Source organism: Homo sapiens, chromosome 14 (genome assembly GCF_000001405.40).
Source record: "Homo sapiens chromosome 14, GRCh38.p14 Primary Assembly".
NCBI lineage: Eukaryota > Metazoa > Chordata > Mammalia > Primates > Hominidae > Homo > Homo sapiens.
The window spans coordinates 71272666-71296100 of NC_000014.9; the positions used below are offsets into that span (position 1 = coordinate 71272666).

Consider the following 23435-nt stretch of genomic DNA (forward strand, 5'->3'; position numbering starts at 1 on the left):
TATATGGGAAAAATGGGCATAACACTCAAAAACATCATCAATGGCACTTAAAAGTGGTAGAACCTAATGAAAACAGTAGGATGGTCTTACACATGTTAAATGGTTAATAAAATAATAAAATACATAAATAACACAATAAACATGGCACTGTAAAAAGACCTGAAGTTTGCCTGTGGAAGAGGGTGTCAGAAGAGCTGCAGTTTGTGTATTATTGTGAATTAGTGGAAGGAGGATTACCAGAAATCAGGCTAAAAGTTGTAACATCAGGTGTGGATGGATGTAGCTCCTGACACACACGGTGAACTGAGGTAACTGCTATATGTTTGTTTGAGGTGTGTGCACCGTGTGTGTTCTGTGTATTTTTAAACTGGGTGCAGTTTTCTTCATACACTTAGTGTTTCTTGGAGGACAAATATATGCATAAGTATTCTGAAGTTCAGATTTCACTCAAATTTTTCTCTAATTATCAATAGGACTGGAGCAAATTTAAACTTGCAAAATAAGCTTTACAGTCAAACTGATGGTATCTTGGAAAACTCAACTGGTTCATCCACAACAGGCACTTGGTCACTAATGCCCATGATTTTTGCTCCTATTTATGTGTTTCTTCTTCATTCCTGCCATTGCTGCTCCAGTCTAGATGCTCACTACCTCCTTTCTGTACTATTGCAACAACCACTTCATGCTCTTTCCACTACAGTGCCTTGTCTTACCCACATTGGTCAGGGGCTTAGGAATGCCATACCTGTAATGGTGTCCTGGGCCAGCACCAATGAGTGAGGGCTTCTATTGTTTGACCAAGCTATGATACACGATTCCTGAGCCATTTGCTCACTATAAGATGGGCAATTGTAGCCTCAAAAAGGATTGTTGTGATGATTAAAGAGAGAATCTATGGCAACCATCCACATGGCTTCTAGCACATAGTAGACATTTGATAATAGTTGTTCTTGTTCCCCTTTCCTATTTGTTGCTCAACTAAAAATATGATTTAAAAACATTAAAAATATAAACAGTGACTCTGTATTTCCTGTAGGATTAAGCCAAATCACTTGAGAAAGGCTTCTAAGACCCTCTCAATCTGTATCGAACATGGTTTTCAGCCTCATGCTCTTTATCCCCAGTCCAAGTCACTTAATTTTTAATACCTTCCCAACTGTTGCCTCCCTCCCTCACCCATAAAAAACAAACAAACAAACAAAAACCTTTGGTACACCCTCTGAACTCCCACCACGTAATGTACAAATACCACTCATACAGCATCTCCCAGTCCTGTGTAGCAGACTATTTGTCACCCAGCAAACACCCAGGGCCCCCACCCCATTCTCCTTTACTAATATGCAGCAGCTCTAGCCTGGATTAGATGCCAGTACACACAGAGCAGGACAAATCCAAGACTATTACAGAGAAGAAGAATGGGAACTTTATGTAATGCACATGATACCTGCCCTACCTCTGAACTACTTTATATTTTATACAATAAATATCTTGTTGTTCAGGCCACTTTGACCTAGGTTTTCTGTCACCTGCAGTGGAAAACTGGTATTAGATTTATTTATAAGTCTCACTCCCTGGTAATGTTGAGAAACCCACAGGTCTTCAGTTTTATATCCTCAGCACTAAGAAGTACATGACACATACTAGATGGTCAGCAAATATTTTTTGGAGGGATGGATGGGTGGATGGATGAATGGGTGGGTGGATGAATCTTCTGGCATCCTGCCTATTATACTTTCCAGTGTTTACCTCCTTCTCAAATATCCTGCTAACCATGGAATCTTAGCATTAGATAAGAAATAAAGGGAAGGCAAGGTGTCTAGACAAGAAGTCCAGAAAGCAATAAAATAGAAAAGCAGCCAAGAATTTATACTGGGAGTGCCTTAAGGTATCAAGGGAAAGAACATGAGCCTTTTCCTGGGGACTTTGTTGCAGGGATGTGGAGTGGGGGATGTTTCTATTGGCCACCCAACCCTCCTCCTTTAGCTTCAATTTCCCCTTTCACCAGAGCCTCAACACCAACACTTCAAGCACAGTTGTATATTCCACAGGTGAAGGGAGGAAGTGGGAATCCACTAAACCAACAAAATCTGGAGATATAGCCTTCTGATGAACTAGCCAGATACAGGGAGAGAGCATAATCATGATATGGAACTGCTACGGCTTGAATGTGTCCTCTCCAAAATTAAGGTGTGCCCAGTGTGATGGGATTAAGCAGTGGGGCCATTAAGAGGTGATTGAGGTCATGAGAATTCCTCCCTTGTGAATGGGATTAAGGCCCTCATAAAAGAGACTTCATGCAACATTCAGCTAGCTTGCTCTTCTGTTCTCTGCCATGTGAGAACATGGCATCCCTTCCCTTCAGATGATGCAGCCCTCACCAGACAAGTGAACCTGCTGGCACCTTGATCTTGGATTTCCTGGCCTCCAGAACTGTGAGAAATAAATTCCTCTTGATTATAAATGGATATAAACAGGTATTCTCTTATAGCAGCATAAAATGGACTAAGACTTTTCTATAGAGTAGTTGCTATACATAAGGCATTCTCTCAATTTGCCTGCATCATCTCATTTGGTCCTCACTGCCACTCAGTAAAATAGGAACTATGACTTGCCCCACTTGACAGATGAGAAAATTGGAGCTTCAAGTTTAGATAGTGTACCCATGGCCAGTAATTGGTGAATGTAACTCCAGGGCCTAGCATATAGTGCTCAGAGAAATGGATGCAAAGCTGCCTTCCAAGTGTCTTTCTCAAATATTTTTAGTCTGTTTCCTGCTGCTATAACAGAATACTACAGACTGAGTAATTATAAAGACAAGAAGTGTATTTAGCTCATAGTTCTGGAGGCTGGGAAGTCCAAGGGCATGGTGCCAGCATCTGGTGAGGGTCTTTTTGCTTTGTCATAGTATGAAGGAGGGCATCACATGGTGAAAGGCAAGGAGCAAGAGAGATGGAGAAAACTCGCTTTTATAACAAAGCCACTCCCTCAATAACAAACCCCCTCCCATGATAGTGACATTAATCCATGAAGGCAGATTGATTAAGTTTCCAGTATATGAACTTTTGAGATACACATTCAAATAATAGCAAATATCAGTTGGTTAGAAGTCCATTTTGCTTTGATTTTGAACTAGAATTTATTGAGCAGTGATATGGTTTGGATCTTCATCCCCACCCAAATCTCATTGTAATCCCAGTGTTAGAGGTGGGGTCTGGTGGGAGATGATTGAATCATGGGGGAGGATACTTCATGAATGGTTTAGCACCATCCCCTCTGTGCTGTTCTCATGATAGTGAGTGAGTGAATTATTGTGAGATCTGGTTGTTTAAAAGTGTGTAGCACCTCCCCTCTCTTTCTTTCTCCTGCTCCAGCCATGTCTTACTTGCCTGCTTCTCCTTTGCCTTCCACCACGATTGTAACTTTCCTGAGAACTCCCAGAAGCGGAAGAAGCTATGATTCCTGTATAGCCTGCAGAACCAAGAGCCAATTAAACCTCATTTCTTCATAAATTACCCAGTCTTAGGTATTATTTTAATTGCAATGCAAGAATGGACTAATATAAGCAGCTACTAATGTGTTTGACCTTTTATATACCTTACTTCATATATCCTTTAGACCTAAGTGTTATCCACTGAGAACATGGTGATCCAGAGGGGTTTAGAAACCATACCAGTGTCATCCAACTAGTAAGTGACAGAGTTGCAATAAGAACCCTGGCCCACCTAAATTCAAAATTCTTTCCGGTGTCCCACAGCTGCTTCCATTGTCAACTATGGCCTGAAGAAGACAAGCTGTACATAGGAAGGCACCCATGCATTCTGTGCAATCCAAGTAACAGGGCCCACATTTTATAAGAAAATTGGAGAATAACGACATGTATTCCTAACTCACTGAAGGGCCAACCAACCAGTCACTGAGGAGTCCAAAACCAGGGTCAAATTTTCCCTAGAGACAGTGGTGTGCTCTAAACCGGTTCCCCTCTGGTTTTAAGTGTCTCCTCTACTACTTATCCCCTAAGTCTCAATTTAATGTTGTTTTCCCCAGGAAGCCTCCCCTGGGTCCACAGACTAGGTCAGACCTGTTACAGATTTCTAAATACTGGGCACTTCACTTTCCAATTATTATCCATACATCACCTGCCTTCTCCACTAGGCTGTCAGCTTTCTCACTCCTTATGGTGAAGGATAGCATTCTCCATACAGCAGCCAGAGAAATCCTTCTAAAAGGCAAGTCAGTTCTTACCACTTCTCAGCTCCAAACCTTGAAAGGCTGCCCACCCCTGTCAGAATAAACTTTTAAGTTTATTCTCTCTCCCACCACTCTCCCCACTCTTACTCCACTGTTGCCACACTGGCTTCCCTGCTTTTCCTTTGATATGGCAAACACAGCCCTGCCTCAGACCATTGCAGGTGCTGGTTCCTCTCCTGGGTAAACCACAAGATCCACTCCCTTACTTTCACCGGGTCTCTGTTTAGATGTTACCTTTTCAGTCTGGGCACAGTGACTCACACCTGTAATCCCAGCACTTTGGGAGGCCAAGGCGGGCAGATCACTTGAGCTCAGGAGTCCAAGACCAGCCTGGCCAACATGGTGAAATCCCATCTCTAATAAAAATACAAAAATTAGCCAGGTGTGGTGGTGTGTGCCTGTAGTCCCAGCTACTCGGGGAGGCTGAGGCAGGAGAATCGCTTAAACCCGGGAGGCAGAGGTTGCAGTAAGCAGAGATCGTGCCTCTCCAGCCTGGGCGATGGAGTGAGACTCTGTCACACAATCAATCAATAATCAATCAATCAATAGAAATAAAAAGATAAATGTTTGTTACCTTTTCAGAAAGCCCTTCACTGCTCACCTTATCAAACAAAACCCTCATCTCTCCAGTGTCTCTCCCCCTTACCCTGTTCTATTACTCTTCTTAGCCCCCATGACCACATGACAAACTTTAAACTTCTTGGTTGATTGGTTTATCCTCTGCTCTCCCTCTAGCAGGTGGGCTCCTTGAGAGAAGAGTCTTCATCTATTTTGACTACTGTTATGCCCCGGCCACCCAGAACAGTACCTGGCTTACTAGTGCTTCTTTCCTAAGAACATATTCAAATACTAAATCCTAGAAAGATTCATGGAAGAATCTTGAAATGGTTCTGGTACACTGCTTTTTATTTTTAGTGACATTGCCTCAGGGTGATATATTTATTTTTATTTTCTGGTAATATCTTTCTAGCATTGGTCATCCTACTTTTTCACTAATTCACCTTTTTGAGGAGAAAATAGTCCCCTGGGCTGTAGTGCCAGCACTTATAAAGTATAGCTCACAGAAGCTTTTGAGAAACCTGTAAAATCTGCCCGTGCTTTGCCACGCGCTGAGGAAACATAAAGGTATTTTAATATCAAAGGTCAGAGGCACTGTTTCTTTTATCTTTTCCTCAGAAGAAATTACTTTTAGTTTAAAGAACATACCCAAGTAATTTCCATCTGTAAACAAATGGAGTTTGAAAGTGAATGTATTCACATACCCATATTTGCTTAGTACAAACCTATACAAATTTTTTTTTTCTCTGTTCTTTCTTGTCTTACTTAAGTAATGGATAGTAGCAGGGAGTCAAGGAAGGGGTAGCTTTCTGGGATTCCTGGCACTTGGATATGATTCCAAATAATATAAATCAAGCGTGGCCATGCGCAGTGGCTCACGCCTGTAATCCCAACACTTTGGGAGGCCGAGGCAGGTGGATCTCTTCAGGTCAGAGAGTTTGAGACTAGCCTGGCCAACATGGTGAAACTCCATCTCTATAAACAAACAAAAAAAAATTAGCCAGGCTTGGTGGTGGGTGCCTGTAGTCCCAGTTACTCGGGAGGCTGAGGCAGGAGAATCGCTTGAACCTGGGAGGCGAAGGTTGCAGTGATCCGAGATCATGCCACTGCACTCCAGCCTGGAAGACAGAACGAAGACTCCGTCTCAAAAAAAAAAAAAAAAAGATCAGGCTTGAGTATGTGCATGTGGTGATGGTGGTGGGGTCGGGGCAGGAGGGATGGAATTCGCATGCCTGAGAAAGGGAGAAGAAAAGAGAGGAAGGAGGTAAAGAGGAAAGGAAGGAGGGAAGGCAGCCGATTCCTAACATGCCATGAGGAATGCCGTCTCATTGTTAGGATAGAACCGGGCCCACGTCCCACCATAGTAGCTGACCAACTAGTTCATGGGCCATCTCTCCTTCACCCTGTCTTCAGTTCTGCCATGACTTGTTGAGTCTGCTTGGAGTTCTTTAAGTTTTTCATGGCTCTGCTTCCTTACTGTAAAATGAAGTCTGTGCCCCTGTATAACATGATGATTAAGTGCGCAGGACGTAGAGCTAGCCGGGTTCTAATCCTGGCGCCTTAACGCACTAGCTTTCTGATGTGGGGCAAATTATTTAATCTTTCCTAGTCAAAGCTCTCATTCGTAAAACGGGGGAATCATGGTACCCAACTTTGAAGATTGTCATGAGGATTAAGTGAAGGTTTAAAAGTGTTTGCCACATAGTGAACATTCAGCGTTATCTACTATTATTATCCTTTTAGGAGCTAGGATGCTTTTGGCTGCAAGAAACAGAAAATAGAACTAGAAATGATTTAAATAAGTGGTTTCCAAATTTTTGTGATCACTAAAAATATTTTTTCTAGCCTGCTCTCTAATAAATGCATGTTTGAAAATTATGTCCTTAAATAATTATATTAATATTTACATATATAATAAAAATTTTTAAAGAAGAATATTTATTTATTTATTTTTGAGACGGAGTCTCATGCTGTCACCCAGGCTGGAGTGTGGTGGCACGGTCTCAGCTCACTGCAACCTCCACCTCTCGGGTTCAAGCAATTATCCTGCCTCAGCCTCCCAAGTAGCTGGGACTACAGGCATGTGCCATCACACCCGGCTAATTTTTGTATTTTTATTAGAGACAGGGTTTTGCCATGTTGGCCAGGCTGGTCTTGAACTCCTGACCTCAAGTGATCCACCTGCCTTGCCTCCCAAAGTGCTGGGATTATAGGTGTGAGCCACTGCACCCGGCCCCTAGTAGGGGTTTTTAACCTGCCAGCTATAGTGACAGAGGCCAGCGTGCTCATTTCTTCTTTCCATAGAAATACCACTTTCCTTGGACACAGTACATCATACTCAGTTCCCGTGGCCCTAGTTCACCATGCCCTCTGGGAGGGACACACCTATCATGCTGATGGACTCTGGGATCTACTCTCTGCCCTGTGATCAGCCCCTGCCATTTCATAACATCCAGAGTTTCTGCTTTATTCATGAGACATATAGCATTTTCCTATTAAACCAACTAGCTTTTTTCCCTCCTCTTTCCTTTGTTTTCCATTCACATTTTCCAGACCTTGTCCAATAAGTAAGGCCAGCTTTTTGCCATCACTTCAGGCATAGTCTTCAGAGAGACAGAGAATGGGTACTGATGCAATATGACACATGATGGAGTTTGCTATCTTCTTCTCTTGTCTCTGCAAAGTGCACATACCCTACTTAGAGTCTGTGAGTCTTCCATCTCTGACATGCTGATGGCTCCTGAAATCATTGTATGGTGACACTGCTGTGGTCCCCAAGCCTGGACTGAATAGTCAGTGCAGGGCAAAGCGTCGGCATTCACACCATTGCCAGCCTCTTTGTCATTGCCTGCACCAGCCCTTGCCACTTTTCCTGATTCATCCCCACACTGGCAAGCCTCTGAGTAGGTGTGAGTTCTGAGCCAAGCTGCATTTAGAAGGGTCTAAAAAATACAGACCCAGTGAAGGAGAGGCATGGAAGGGTCAAAGGCACCATTTCAAAGAAGGCGAATTTTGTAACATAATGCATTGGAAAGCCAAACTTGAACGTGAATCCCAATATCCTGATTCATAGCTATGTGACCTTAGGGTTCTCTAAACCTGAATTTTATCACTTGGAAAATGAAGGTTATGATACCTCCTTTTGGGTAATTGTGAAAAATAAGTAAGATAAGGTATGTTAGCAGGCCCAGCCTAATGTTTAGCATGCATTAGGCACTTAATACATGCCAGCCCCCTTTCTCTTTCCAGTCTTTAATATAAACCGATTGCCCAGGTTTCGATCAGTATAGAGTCATATTCTTTCACAGCTGGCAAATGTGATTACTTGCCTGAGAGTTATTCCATGGTCTCAGACTATAAAACGAAAGTGGCTCGAAAGAGAGGGAAAATATCAGAAATGGGAATGTGACAAAGCAGTCACTGTATTGCAACTGCCTGTTCGTTTGTCGATACCCCTCAGCTCCTTGGGAATGGAAGCCAGGTATCCCCAAGGCTTAGGCCCTGCCCCTGTTTAGCACACAGCTAAGCCTTGACAAATCTTTTCTCTTTTCTTTTTTGAGGCAGGGTCTCTGTTGCCCAGGTTGGAGTGCAGTGGTGCAATCATGGCTCACTGCAGCCTTGAACTCCTAGGCTCAAGTGATTCTTCTATTTCAGTCTTCTGAGCAGCTAGGACTACAGGCACATATCACCACGTCTGCCTAATTTTTAAAATTATTTATAAAGATGGAGTCTTGATATCTCGCCCAGGCTGGTCTCAAATTATTGGTCTCAATCCCGCTTTGGCCTCCCAAAGTTCTGGGATTGCAGGCAAGAGCCACTGTGTCCAGTCAATATTTTCTAAATGCATGAAGGAGACTGGTGAGGAAAAATGGGGGAGAAAACAAAAAAATTAAATGTGATAACACAGGCAGCATTATGAGAAACTTAGGTATAAAAACTAAACAATATTAGACAAGGAACAGAAGTAAGTCTAAAAGCCCAAAGAGAATTAGAAAAGATTAGCATACATACCTGGGGACGGGGAGGCTATGTTTAAAAACAACAAGAGAAAAGAGTAAAAGTATAAATGTGTGTGTGTGTGTGTGTGAGAGAGAGAGAGACAGAGAGAGATTAAGAGAGGGGAGTGATATTCACAACTTGGAAAAGCCACAGGAAATCTAAAACTTAGATACCTGATAGGACAAGTCCAAGCACTTTGAGAGACCAAGGCCAGAAGATTTCTTGGGCCCAGGAGTTTGAGACCAGCCTGGGTACTATAGTGAAAACCCATCTCTACAAAAAATTAAAAAATTAGCCGACTGTGATGGCACAAGCCTGTAGTCCCAGCTACTCCCAAGGTTGATGTGGGAAGGTCACTTGAGCTCAGGAGTTGAGACTGCAGTGACCCATAATCGTACCACTGCACTCCAGCCTGGGTGACAAATGAGACCCTGTCTCAAAAATAATAACAACATCAACAACATGTAGTCTGCATCTACTTATGGGACCCAAATACAGAAAACTGGTCAAAGTAAAGATGCTCTGGGTATCACAGAGGTGGCAAGGCCTCCTGCATCCTACCTCCCTCTCTTCCCCAGGATGGGGCACTGTGTTGAACCCTATTGTGGAAACCACCTGAAATGGTTTGGCTCTGTATCCCTACCTAAATCTCATCTTGAACTGTAATCCCCAAGAGTTGAGGGAGGAATCTGGTGGGAGGTGATTTGATTATGGGGGTGGTTTCACCCATGCTGTTCTCGTGATAATGAGGGAGTTCTCATGAGGTCTGATGGTTTAAAAGTGGCAGCTTCCCTTGCATGCTGTCTCTCCCCTGCCACCTTGTGAAGAAGGTCCTTGCTTCTCCTTTGCCTACTGCCATGATTGTAATTTTCCTGAGGTCTCCCCAGACAAGTAAAACTGTGAGTCAATTAAACCTCTTACCTTAATTACTCACTCTTACCTGTGAGTCGATTAAAACTCTTTACTTAATTACCCACTCTTAGCAGCGTGAGAATGGACTACTATACAACTTCTATAGGTTAGTGAGGTGGACATCTGCTGAAAAAATCACTCATTAGCTCCTATAAAGGGAAGCAGTGAACCCCAGAGACCAGCAAGCAAGGGTTCCCCAGGAGAGAGCAAGGCCAGACCAACCTTGTTTCCTTTTCTGTAGGCTGTTAATGGAATGTTACAGTAGAGTTCACTTGGATTTGAGCTACATATTTGTCACATCTTTTGTTATAACCTTGCAAACAAAATGAACGTTCTTTGATGATGCCATTAATAGATGCAAAACTGCTAAGACCATCCCCAAAGGTTGTTGGTTATAGAGTTAATGCAAACCTTGGGGGAATTTCTAAGGGCCTGCCAAGAGGCTCTTTTCTGTCAGCTCCTTTTTAGCATTTTAATCAATAATGCTAATAATAATTACTTTTTATTAAGTGCCTAACATATGCTAAGCACAGTGCTAAGCACTTTAATTCTATAAAGTAGGTATTATTTTTTATCACCACTTCATAAATGAGAAAACTGAGGCTTGGAATGAACAATTAGCTTGTTCAACATCACATAACTAATAAGTAGAGGAACCAGAACTTAAACCTACACCTGATGGACTCCAAAACTGTTACAACTAGCTAGATGAGGACGCTGGTGATGCTCTTATGACATGAAGCTATTGCCAGTGCATCAGAAAATAACATTATTATCCAAAATAGCCACAGTCCAGAATGATAGGCAGAATTTAAAATAATGAACTTAAGTGGAAAGAACAACCGAAGGTCTAAAAACAAAACAACAAACAACAAGGGAATAAAAGTAGCTACACAAATACCAGATGGGAGCGAGACAGCTTAACAACAACACATGTTAAAAAAAAAAAAAATAGGCTTAGCAGTTTTATTTACAGAATTTAATGGGTAAATGGTGAAATACGGCTGTCAAAAACATTAACATGACCTTGAGCCATATTAATGAACTTAGAGGGTCCAAAACAAAGGAAGGCCAGGAGCTGCTGGGCCCTGCTTTAATGAGACCATAGCTGCAGTGTTCTGTGCAGGAAATCGCATTTTAAGACGAATGGTGGTGAATAGAAATGATGAAGATGGAGATAGTGTGGAAAGGATCCGGAAACACCTAGCTTCAAAACGTGAAGACAGTGGAAACAGGAGAGCTATTTTCAGATATATAAGGGCCATTTCTCAAGTTGCTACTTGCAATAGGAGCATATTCTGTACTAGCTGAGAGAAGCAGCCTGTAGGGACATTCTGGCTTTGTGCGTCTTCAACATTTATGACCAAGAGGAGCCCCAGGACCTGGCTACCAAATGGAGCTTCTAATACTAATCCTCAAAATGAGTCCTTGAAGAGGTTCAGATAAAGACAAGAAGAAGAACTGGTTTCCAGATTAATATGCAAATAATAAAACCTGCCCTCTCTAAAACAAAAGAAAGACATTTTTTAAAAAAACTTACCAGTCAACATACAGTTTTCATTAGCAGCAACCAAACAAGGAGAAAAATACAATTTCTTGCCAGAAATTTTGAAAAGGCTCAAGAATAGAATCCAGTCAGCCAGGCAATGAGTGGGTAAACTGTAGTTGAAAGTGGGGGCTGGGGGGAGGGAGGAAGAAAGGAATGTAGGGGAAGAACAGAAGAAAGAGAAAGGAAACTGTCACAATGCTTGATGCTAGATGACAGCGAAAAAATATTTACCAAGTTCAGAGGGAAAGACTTGTGACTTTAGAATTTTATCCAGATTATCAGTATGAAGATTATCAGTATGAAGGCTACGGGTGGAGAGTCTCAAGCATGCAAGAATTCAGGGAATACATTACCATGCACCATTCTTGAAAAAATGCCTTGTTGATAAAATTGTAATGCAGGCAACTAGGAGATGAATCAAAATAAAGCAGTAAGAAATGGAAATTTCAGGGTAAAAGAATATGAACTTATCATTAAATCACATGAGATTTATGCTATAGAAGTGAATGCAATGCAAATATTAACACTTTAAGAAGGTAAAATTAATATGGTCAAAATTGAGTAGTATTAGGAGAAGGGTTGGGAACAAGTTATGCATGTATACTACAAAGTCCAAATATCTAAAATTGAAATGTGTTTATGAACACTCCAACCTATTATGTTTTGTCTTTTTTAAAAATAATGTTTTATGGCCAAGCGTGGTGGCTCATTCCTGTAATCCCAACACTTTGGGAGACCAAGGCAGGCGGATCACTTGCAGTCAGGAGTTCCAGACCAGCCTGGCCAACATGGTGAAACCTCATCTCTACTAAAATACAAAAATTAGCCGGGCGTGGTGGTGCGCACTTGTAATCCCAGCTACTGGGGAGGCTGAGGCAGGAGAACTGCTTTAACTCAGGGGGCAGAGGTTGCAATGAGACGATATTGTGACACTGCATTCCAGCCTGGGTGACAGAGCAAGACTCCAGCTCAAAAAAAAAAAAAAAGTTTTCTCCTTAATTGTAAGGAACTCTTAGGAAGTAATATATTTGAGTGGTAAAGATATATTTATCTAAAGTTTGGCTCTTTTCTATTTCACCTTAATTTCTTCTTTCTTTTTTAAGTAGTAGTAAATTTAATAGTTTACTAAAAATAGCATGTATCTTATGGTAGATGCAATTGATTGGATTATTTAATGTCTCTTCTATCCTTAGTCTACTGTGTTTTCCTGTGTCTGTATTTCCAGACTCCCTTGCAGCTTTTATTTCAAAGAGATTCAGTAGTCACCAGTCAGATGCACTTTTGTGAGACTAGAATTCAGCAGTTCAGTGAAGAAAAGATGATGGCAAGTGAGACATCGGTGCTAGAGCTCCAAGAGTTATGCCATGGCTCTGGAGCCCATAGTTCTGGTGGGGCTTCTTGACTCCTGGATTGAAGCTAAGGTAACCCCATGGTTCCTGGAGCCATCACTGAAGTGGTGGCTTCCTTGTGCCCAGATCACACTGAGGTGGTATATTCATTACCTATAGCTGTTGAAACAAATGACCATATATTTGGTGGCTTTAATTTATTCTCTTACAGTTCTGGAGACCAAACATCCAAACTCAGTATCCCTGGGCTGAAACTAAGGTGGCAGCCAGGCCAGGCTCCCTCCAGAGGTTCTAGGGGAAAATCCATTCCTTGCTTCTTCCATCTTCTTGTGGCTACCGGCACCCCCTGGTTTGCAGCCACAACACTCTCCCTCCATCTTCAATCACCTTCTCCTTTTCTATCAGTGTTTTTTGCTTGTTTGTTTGTTTGTTTATTTGTTTTTGGTTTTTGTTTGGGTTTTTTTTTTAGACAGTCTTGCTCTGTCGCTCAGGCTGGAGTGCAATGGCATGAGCTCGGCTCACTGCAGCCTTTGCCTCCTGGGTTCAAGCGATTCTCATGTCTCAGTCTCCTGAGTAGCTGAGATTACAGGCTCCCACCAACACATCCAGCTAATATTTGTATTTTTAGTAGAGACAGATTTCTCCATATTGGCCAGGCTGGTCTCAAACTCCTGGCCTCAAGTGATCCACCAGCCTCAGCATCCCAATGTGCTAGGATTACAGGCGTGAGCCATTGCACCCAGCCTCCTTTTCTATCAGTGTTAAACATCCCTCTGCCTCCTTTTTATAAGATACACGTGATTGCATTTAGGACCCACTCTGATAATCCAGGATAATCCTATGTCAAGATCCTCAATCACATCTGCAAAGACCTTGTTTATGTCCAAGGTAATATTCGCAGGTTCTAGGAATCAAAAAATGGGTATCTTTTGGAGGGCTGTTTTTGGCCTACCACAATGGCATAATCCTAGAGGCTGAATTTGGGACAGTAGCTTCCTGTTCCACAGATTCCTGACTGTGGCAGAGGTAGACACTGCCTGACACACCAGTTCTGCAGGTTTATTCTGGGAGTCATTTCTAAAAGCCCAAACCTGAAGCCTACTCCCCCAACCCTTCCATAATTGCATTTGTACCCAATGCCCTGCCTACTTAAACTACAAGAGTGCTTCTGTTATGTGCAACCCTGATGGATATAGACAATCTGATCACATGTTGATACAATTGTTTATATTTCTCTATATATACTGTACCTGTATATAACTGGGCTACACACCTACTATACTAATATATACAAAGAAAAAACACTGTCTTTTTCAAATTCTGTTAGAAAAATAATTTTTATCTGATGCAGAATCAAGGAAAAATAAATAAATGAATGTTCTGATATTCCTTACAAGCTCCTTCAGCCATGCGGCAATGGTTGTTTTGGTGGCTGGAATACAAGGAAAAAGGGGGCCAAATTTTATGGCAATTTGTTAAAGTTAATGGAATGAAGTCAGGAGTTCACTGAGGTAAGTTTTCGGTCCCTTGAATGTCCTCTCCTTCTCCTTGCTCCTCTCCTAGGTAGGGTCTGCCTTTATGGGGTAAGGTGGATTGTATGACATCATAGTGTCATCAGTGGGGACAGGAAGACGAGGTCCTCAAATCCATGCTGAATCCTCCCAACATCATTGAGCTCTGCTGTGAACTGGCTGCTCTAGGCAGTGTCCTAGACTGATGGCTTCTAAGATACCTGCCACTGGAGTTTATGGTCCTGGCCATTCGTCTCTACATTCAGGTTTCTGCCTGTCCACCAACCCTATCAACATCTCTGCATTCTCTGCCCCTAAACATGCAAGAGCTTCTGGGTCCTCTGAAGGCCACATACAAGCCATGGGGGGATGAGAAACACTATCTCAGGTTAAATTATCTACATATTAGTAGATAGTTCAGTTACCTGCAGATAGTTTGTTTAGTTATCTGTAGAGAGTTAATGCTGCTACATTATTATCTTGTGCCACGTTAAAGGTGGGTGAGTGCAGGGCTATGCTAAAGACTGATACCTCCTTGCAGTGTTTTGGGGGAATCCCTGGAGTTCTGAGTTCCTGCACTTCCTTTAGCTATCTGGATGCTTTAAGACTCCCTTTCCTGGCTCACACCTGTAATCCCAGCACTTGGAGAGGCTGAGGCAAGTGAATTCCTTGAGCCCAGGAGTTCAAGACGAGCCTGGGCAACATGGCAAAACCCCATCTCTACAAAAAAAAATACAAAAATTAGCTGGGTGTGGTGCTGTGCACCTAGTAGTCCCAGCTACTCAGGAGGCTGAGGCAGGAGGATCGTTTGAGCCCAGGAAGTTGAACGAGCTGTGATCACAGCACTGCATCCCAGCTGGGGAGATAGGACCCTGTGAAAGAAAAAGCAAGAAAGCAAGAAAGCAAGCAAGAAAGAAAGAAAGAAAGGAAGGAAGGAAGGAAGGAAGAAAGAAAGGAAAGAAAGAAAAAGAAAGAAAAGAAAGAAAGAAGGAAAGAAAGAAAGGAAAGAAAGAAAGAAGGAAGGAAGGGAAAGATAGAAAGAAAGGAAGGAAGGCTCTCTTTCCTAAAAAAGAAAGAAAGGAAGAGAAAGAAAGAAAGAGAGAAAGAAAGAAAGGCTCTCTTTCCTCCTTTCCTGCAACCAAGTTTGGTTCTAAGGGAGGTCAAAAACCAGAACCTTGTGTCTAAGCTCCTCAACCCATGTCTGATCCTTCCATTCCTGCAGCCAGAAGGGGCAGGTGTGGGGTTTCCATTTCATCTGTAGCACATCCTTCTTCTGACATGCTCTTCCTAGAGGAGCCAGCCTCGTGGCATGAGCCGTGCAGGAGGGAGGTCTACTCTATGCTAGAGAAGAAACTGGTCAGAGCCCTCCAGAGCTAGTCCTGATGATAAAGGGGAAGATAATATAGCTTAAGGATTCTTTTCTGAATTAAGCATGTCTGTCTTTCATGAATATTTTCTTGTTTGAAATTAAGAGGTCAAGGAAGTTAGCTGTGATCAATGTTCCCTGTTCCAAGTAGTACCTACCTATTCTTTACCAGAACAATAAGCCTCGTGACTCAGTAAGTCAACCCTAAGGGTGGAAGGCAACTGAGGAACCAATTAAGACAGAAATTAGAATGGATCAGTTTAATACTTAAAAATATTATCTGTTAACTTATATATTAAAAGATATCTGAAATGATATTAACCAAATTTTCATCATGGTTACTTTTGGATTCAGGCAATTTTGGTGTATTACTTAATTCTTTGTACTTTTGGTTGCTGCTTGAATTTTTTTAAAAAAATAAGAACTAGGCTAGCAAAAATGTCCTTAACAATTTGGTTTGAATCTTTTTTCTATGCAACTCCTTCTCCCCCCACCCCCAAATCAACAACTAGAAGGCAGGTATGGGGACTTGATCCTGTAGTCCCAGCCACTCAGGAGGCTGAGGCTGAAGGATCACTTGAGCCCAGGAATTCAAGACCAGCCAGAGCAACATAATGAGACCCCATCTCTAACTTTTTTTTTAAAAAAAGAACTAGCATAATACAAACTCTCCATGATTCTACATTCACTCATTCATTAATTTATTGGGCAACTATCTACTGTGCTCCAGGTCATCTGTTAGGTATTAAGGATTCAGAAATAAATGAATGTCATATTTGCCTTTTAGGAAACCACAATTTAGCAGAGAATACTAAGCACACAACTCTAACACATTCTGGCAAGTATGATTTGTGAACCCCAAATATCTAAGACAGGTCTCAGTCAATTTAGGAAGTTTATTTTGCCAAAGTTAAGGAGGGTGCCCATGACATAGCCTCAGGAAGTCCTGACTACATGTGTCCAAGGTGGCGGGGGTACAGCTTGGTTTTCTGCATTTTAGGAAGACATGAGATCAATATATGTAAGATGCACATCAGTTCCATCCAGAAAGGCGGGACAACTCCAAGCAGGGAGGGGGCTTCCAGGTCATAGGTAAGAGACGAACAGTTGCATTCTTTCAAGTTGCTGATTAGCCTTTCCAAGGGAGGCAACCAGATACGCATTTATCTCAGTGAGCAGAGGTGTGACTGAGTTCTCTCTGTCCTTTCTCTTCAAGGAAATTCCTTGTGAGAGAGGTATGTAGCTTTTAAAAAATCTTAGTAGCTATCTTTTTTAGGAATAGAATGGAGGGTAGGTTTGTCCTAAGCAGTTCCCAGCTTGACTTTTCCCTTTGGCTTAGTGATTTTGGGGTTCCAATATTTATTTTCCTTTCACAGATTACATGATTTTATGACTTTACCTGTCGTGAAGTATTGCCTCAATTTCACAACATACCTTTCTTAAGCATCCACATGTGAGCCAGGCCCTAGGCTAGGCCCTGCAGACAGAAACACACCAGGGCACTGGCAGGGCTCTCAAGCCAGCATGACAAACTTCCCCCAAAGACCGCAGGACAGAGTTTACGAGTTTCACCTTCCACCTCCACCCAGTTGGTCCACCTGCAGGAAGTGAAGCCGTTCTAAAAAGTCAGAAGTGACAGATTCTGTGTCATAGGACAAAGAAAATGCAGGTGACAGGATAGGCAGTTGCATAAAGCTTGGCTGGGTGTTACCAGAAAGGTGTCCCCATCCAGACCCCAAGAGAGGGTTCTTGGACCTCAGGCAAGAAAGAATTCAGAGAAAGTCCATAAAATGAAAGCAAGTTTACTAAGAAAGTAAAGAAATAGGCCAGGCGAGGTAGTTCACGCCTATAATCCCAGCACTTTGGGAGGCCGAGGCGGTTGGATCACCTGAGGTCAGGAGTTCCAGACCAGCCTGGCCAACATGGTGAAACCCCGTCTCTACTAAAAATACAACAATTAGCTGGGTGTGGTGGCATGTGCCTGTAATCCCAGCTACTCAAGAGGCTGAGGTAGGAGAATCGCTTGAACCCAGGAGGTGGAGGTTGCAGTGAGCCGAGATCGCACCACTGCACTCAGCCTGGAAGACAGAGTGAGACTCCATCTCAAAAAAAAAAAAAAAAAAAAAAGAAAAAGAAAAAGAAAAAAGAAAGAAAAAAAAGTAAAGGAATAAAAGAAAGGCTACTCCACAGGCAGAGCAGCAGCATGGGCTGTTCAACGGAGTATATTTAAAGTTATTTCTTGATTATATGCTAAACAAAGGATGGATTATTCTTGTGTTTTCTTGAAAAGAGGCAGAGATTTCCTGGAACTGAGGATCCCTCCCCTTTTTATATAGAGTAGTTTTCAAATGTTGCCATGGCATTTGTAAACTGTCAAGGTGCCAGTGGGAGCGTCTTTTAGCATGCTAATGCATTATAAATTAGCGTATAATGAGCAGTGAGGACGACCAGAGGTCACTTTCGTTACCATCTTAGTTTTGGTGGGTTTTGGCCGGCTTCTTTACCACAATGTGTTTTATCAGCAGGGTCTTTGTGACCTGTGTCTTTTTTTTTTTTCTTTTCTTTTTTTTGAGATGGAGTTTCGTTCTGTTGCCCAGGCTGGAGAGCAATGGTGCAATCTCGGCTCACTGCAACCTCCACCTCCAGAGTTTAAGTGATTCTCCTGCCTCAGCCTCCCGAGTAGCTGGGATTACAGGTGTGTGCCACCACACCCGGCCAATTTTTGTATTTTTAGTAGAGACGGAGTTTCACCATGTTGGCCAGGCTGCTATCGAACTCCTGACCTCAAGTGATCTGCACCCCCCCTCAGCCTCCCAAAGTGCTGAGATTACAGGTGTGAGCCACAGCGTCCGGCCTGTGACTTGTATCTTGTGACCTCCTATCTCATCCTGTGACTAAGAATGCCTAACCTCCTGGGATTGCAGTCCAGCAGGTCTCAGCCTTATTTTACCCAGCCCCTATTCAAGATGGAGTCATTCTGGTTTAAATGCCTCTGACAATGGCTCTCCAGCCACAAAGGAGGAAGTGATTAAAGCATGGAGTCAGAGTTTTTCTGCACTGTTCCACACAGGAGGGCTCTCTTCAAACACAGTTTCCACGTTGAGCTGACTCACTGGCTTCCTCCTCCTACAGTGTCATAGTTACCTCTTTTCCAACTGCACTGCTGAGCAAGTGCAGAGATTGCTTGTTTCAAGGTAGATTGTTGAAAACTTCTTTCGTTTCTCATTTCTATTTCTAGGCATGTCACTGACTTGCTGAGTCATATTTGGCAAGCTCAGGATCTCTTTTTTCCTTGTTTTTCCATCTGGATAATATGATTTATAAAAAGCTCTAAGGCATTTTATTTGGAAAAAGGCATAAACATATAAAAATGATAGTGTTGTTTACCAAAAGACTTTTATCCATACATAGTTCAATTAAAACATCTGGCCAGGGATGGTGGCTCCCGCCTGTAATCCCAACACTGTGGGAGGCCAGGGCAGGAAGATTGCTTGAATCTAGGAGTTTGAGACCATCCTGGGCAAAATGGCAAACCCCTGTCTCCACAAAAAAATTACAAAATTAGCTGGGCATGGTGGTGCACAGCTATACTCTCAGCTACTCAGGAGGCTGAGGTGGGAGGCTCACCTGAGCTGGGGAGGTCAAGGCTGCAGTGAGTGTGATTGCACCACTGCACTCCAGCCTGGGCTACAGAACAAGACCTTGTCTGAAAAAAAAAAAATTGTCTCATCATAATAAAATATTTTTGTCTAATTTGTTCTTTACTGAGTGTGAAAGCTCCTGGAAAACAGGTAAAATTTGTTTCTCTATTTCTATTCCCAACACTCCGCATGGTATAATATAACGAAACTAGATATTCTCCAACTGGTCCTTGAGCCCAAGGGGAAATGCATGCGTGCTGGCAAACAGCTTAGAAATGTCATGAAGTTTTGTGGGTGCATTGGGGCATCTTTTGAGTTTCAAGTCTATATCTCTCCTCTGATTTCCCAAAGGTGTGATCCAAAAAAATTGTTAAAAACCATAAAAGAGGTCCTTAGTACATAAATTGTCAATTCCTGGCCATTCCTCGGAGGTACTGGCATTCTGGAGGCATCTACACAATTTCATAACAATTGTATTGTCCATGTAATACCAACTTCAAAGAGAAGAAATACAAAGAAAATGAAAAGCTGAACACTGTGATCATCTTGCTGACATTGAAGTAGGAGAGAGGCAAGAGATAAGAAAATTATCACTTAATATTAACATTATGCCCCTTAGCCAAATGGCAATATGGCTAGGTTATTTATTTTAATTTAATAACAATCAAGCTATTGTAAAACCCTCAATACACTATCTTGCAAAGAGAAGATACTGAATAAATATTTGATGGTAATACAAAGGAAGCAAGATGAAATAAAAATAAGATACTGTAAAGATGTTATCATAAAGACTTCACCAGAACTTTTTTCATAAATATTTTAAGAATATTTTTGGACTTAGGTTATAAATATGACTTCCAAATTGATAATCTTATAAATTTTTAAAATAAAATATATGGAACAGAGCAACAGAAAGTATATCAACTTTGCTACTTTTATGTAACTTTATTTGTAGCTTTTAAAATAATCCACTTCTTCCCATTAAACAAAAAGTGCCTTGAGATTGGATCCAAGTTTTGTTTTTTTCTTCTAACTTCCAACATTTCATATTGAGCACAGGACTTCAGGACTTCATTTTCATTGGTGCTTCAGAAACATCACTTACTGGTAAAGATAAATGAGAAGTATTCAGTTATGAATAAGTTGTCAGAGATGTCTCTCATGTGTGAGATGGTTCCATTTCCCAAGGATTTCTCTCATTTCTGTAGTAGCGTGTATGACAGCCCATATGGAGTCTACAACTAGAATCCAGACTGTGTATGCAATACGGAGATAGATGTCCCACACCTACTTCCTGGTTTTGGAACATGAGGAAATCACTCAATTGGACTGTAAAAATTTAAATCTGTATTTGTTTAATCATGCAGAATATTTATTTTTAATCTTATTATTTAAAAAATAAAACAGATACAAAAGGCCAGGCACGGTGGCTCATGCCTGTAATCCCAGCACTTTGGGAGGCTGAGGTGGGTGGATCACCTGAGGTCAGGAGTTCAAGACCAGCCTGGGCAACATGGTGAAACCCCGTCTCTACTAAAAATACAAAAATTAGCTGGGCGTGGTGGCGCGTGCCTGTAATCCCAGCTATTCAGGAGGCTGAGGCAGGAGAATTGCTTGAGCCCGGGAGGCGGAGGTTGCAGTGAGCTGAGATTGTACCATTGCACTTCAGGCTGGGTGACAGAGTGAGACTCCGTCTAAAACAAACAAACAGAAAAAACAGATACAAAAGACACATGAAACAAATGTATAGCCTAATGAATTATTACATGTCCAACTTTCTTATAACCAACACCAAAGTCAAGAAATAGAACTAGGACAGTTATCCCGGAAGCCCCTCCACATATCCTGTCTCAATTATAGTCCCTTCCCTCCATCCTTACCCTCCCATCCCAAGAAATCACTGTCCCGACTTTTATAGCAGTGGTTCTCAAAGTGTCTAGAATCTTGATAGAAAAGCAAATTATTGGGCCCCATCACAGACCTAAGAAATAAAAAACTCTTGGAGTGGAGCCCAGCAATCCATGTTTTAAATTTTTTTCCAGGTGATTCTCATGAAAACTTAAAGCTTGAGAACCACTGTTTTAGAGGAATCACTTCCTTCTGTTTCTTTGTCATTTTATTACTAAAGTATGCACTCTTAAACACTGTAGTTTATTCCTGCCCATTTAAAAAATTTCATTTAAGTCTCTTTCAATATAAAGTTTTCCCCTTCAGCCCCTTCTTTTCCTTACAATTTACCTGTTAAAGAATCCAGGCTGTTTGACCTGTATCATTTTCCACAGTTTGGCCTTTGCTGAGTGTATACTCATGGTGCAGTTCAACAGATGCTTCTCTCCTCTATTTCCTGCAAATTGGCAGCTGGATCCAGAGGTTAATTGGACTTCAGTTTGATCTCACTGGCAAGACTACAGGTGATGTTCTGTTTTTTCAATCAGGAGGCACATGTTTGTCTGTCTGTGATGTTAGAAACTGTTGATAATGCCTAAATCCATTAATTTATTGGGGGTTACAAAGTGGTGATGTTCTAATTCTATCATTTCTTTTTCATTTTTCATTATTAGCTAAAATCGTTTTTTGTTGGGTTTTTTTTTTTTTTTTTTTTTTTTTTTTTTGAGACAGAGTCTTGCTCTGTTGCCCAGGCTGGAGTGCAGCAGTGGCACAATCTTGGCTCACTGCAACCTTTGCCTCCTGGGTTCAAGCAATTCTCCTGCCTCAGCCTCCAGTAGCTGGGATTATAGGCACCTGCCACCATGCCCAGCTAATTTTTGTATTTTTAGCAGAGATGGGGTTTTACCATGTTGGCCAGGCTAGTCTTGAACTCCTGAGCTCAAGCGATCCACACGGCCTTGGCCTCCCAAAGTGCTGGCATTACAGGCATGAGCCACAGCGCCTGGCCTAAAATACTTTTATAAAGAGATGTTTCCCTCATCTACTAATCCAGTGGTACAATTTATATAGAAAATGCCAGTAAATGCTTGATTCCTATTTTTTTAACCAGTTTTCAAGATAATCAATTAGTTCCCCATCAACCTCCAAAGGTGACCAATTATTTTTAAATAGCATTTTGGACTCATGGATTTAAACATATTTGACAGGATTTCAATCCACTGCAGTTATTGTCATTATTGAAGTTCAAATCCTGCCATCTTGAACTAATAGATGCCACTTCAAGTTGGTTCCTGGGTCCTTTTGAGAGAACTATTTGGAATAATAATACATTCCAGGTTCATTTGGTACATTTCCTACCCTAAGTTACTTCTTTAAGAAGGCCTGGCTTCTTTCAGAGTGAATAGATATTTCAAGACTATTATCTAAACTCTAATGGAGCCCATTTTGACTGGGTAGGACATTGTTTTTAGGCCTTTTCAATTAACAAAGTTATAAGTGTGCGTGTTAGTTATTTAGTGCTGTGTAACAAATTACCTCAAAACATAGCTTCTTAAAACAACAATAAAATTTATTACCTCCAACAGTTTCTGTGGGTCAGGAATCCAAGAGTGGCTTACATGGACGGTTCTGAAGTCATCTGAAGGCTTGACTGGACTGGAAGATTCACTTCCAAGGTGGTACACTCCAAACCTGGACCGTTGGTGCTGGCTCTTGGCAAGGCCCTCAGTGGCTCACCATGTGGACCTCTCCTCAGGGCTGCTTGAATGCCCTAATGTCCCCAGAAGCAAGTGATCAAAAAGAACAACGCAGAAGCCACAATGTTTTTTACGATCTAGCACTGGAAGTAACACCCTGTCAATCCCATGATGTCCTATTGCTTACACAGGTTGGGGGAGGGGGAGGAAACTACATAAGGACATGAATGTGAAAAGGAGAGAAACATTAGGGACCATCCTGGAGGCTGGTTGATACTTAAAGATAAAATACCAGCAGAGTGTTGTGGCTCACGCCTGTAATCCCAACACTTCGGGAGGCCAAGGCAGGAAGGTCACTTGAGGCCAAGAGTTTGAGAACAGCCTGGGCAACATATCATATTACAAAAAATAAAAAATAAAAATAGCTGGGTGTGGTGGTACACGTGTAGTCCTAGCTACTTGGGAGGCTAAAGGCAGGAGGATCACTTGAGCCCAGGAGGTCGAGGCTGCAGTGAGCCATGACTGTGCCACTACACTCCAGCCTGGGCAACAGAGTAAGACCCTATCTCAAAAAACAAACAAACAAACAAACAAACAAACAACCTCATAAATTCATGCTGCTCCTTCCAAGTCACATTCAGGACTTACTTAACTTATTCCACATTATGTGTATAACTCTTTTCATACTGAGAATCCTAGCAATTAGAACATCTCATAA

At 41.9% G+C, this 23435-nt stretch overlaps 2 long non-coding RNA genes across 9 annotated transcripts in view, besides 1 other annotated feature; one reads left to right on the forward strand and one right to left on the reverse strand.

Moving 5' to 3' along the window:
• The first annotated feature begins 14278 nt into the window (after window positions 1-14278).
• Window positions 14279-22735, forward strand: LOC107984654 (uncharacterized). Its single transcript, XR_001750820.2, has 3 exons — window positions 14279-14392; window positions 21416-21544; window positions 22607-22735. It is a non-coding gene; the product is annotated as an uncharacterized LOC107984654 (long non-coding RNA).
• Window positions 18407-18701: an enhancer, noted in NCBI's record as "tiled region #5380; HepG2 Activating non-DNase unmatched - State 3:PromF, and K562 Activating DNase matched - State 9:DNaseU". NCBI's record gives its function as "activates a minimal TATA promoter and a strong SV40 promoter by Sharpr-MPRA in HepG2 and K562 cells {active_cell/tissue: HepG2 | K562}" and the evidence as "EXISTENCE:reporter gene assay evidence [ECO:0000049][PMID:27701403]".
• SIPA1L1-AS1 (SIPA1L1 antisense RNA 1) overlaps window positions 20059-23435 on the reverse strand; it is a 29125-nt gene continuing 25748 nt past the window's right edge. For 2 of the 8 annotated variants that reach the window (NR_184175.1, NR_184177.1), the window contains exons 3-5: window positions 22598-22791; window positions 21372-21491; window positions 20059-20237 (exon numbers count right to left, since the gene is read on the reverse strand). This is a non-coding gene — a long non-coding RNA (SIPA1L1 antisense RNA 1). Of the gene's footprint in view, window positions 20828-21371; window positions 21616-22597; window positions 22792-23435 lie in introns of all 8 variants that reach the window. The other 6 variants (NR_184179.1, NR_184178.1, NR_184173.1 and 3 more) reach the window with 5 other exon arrangements.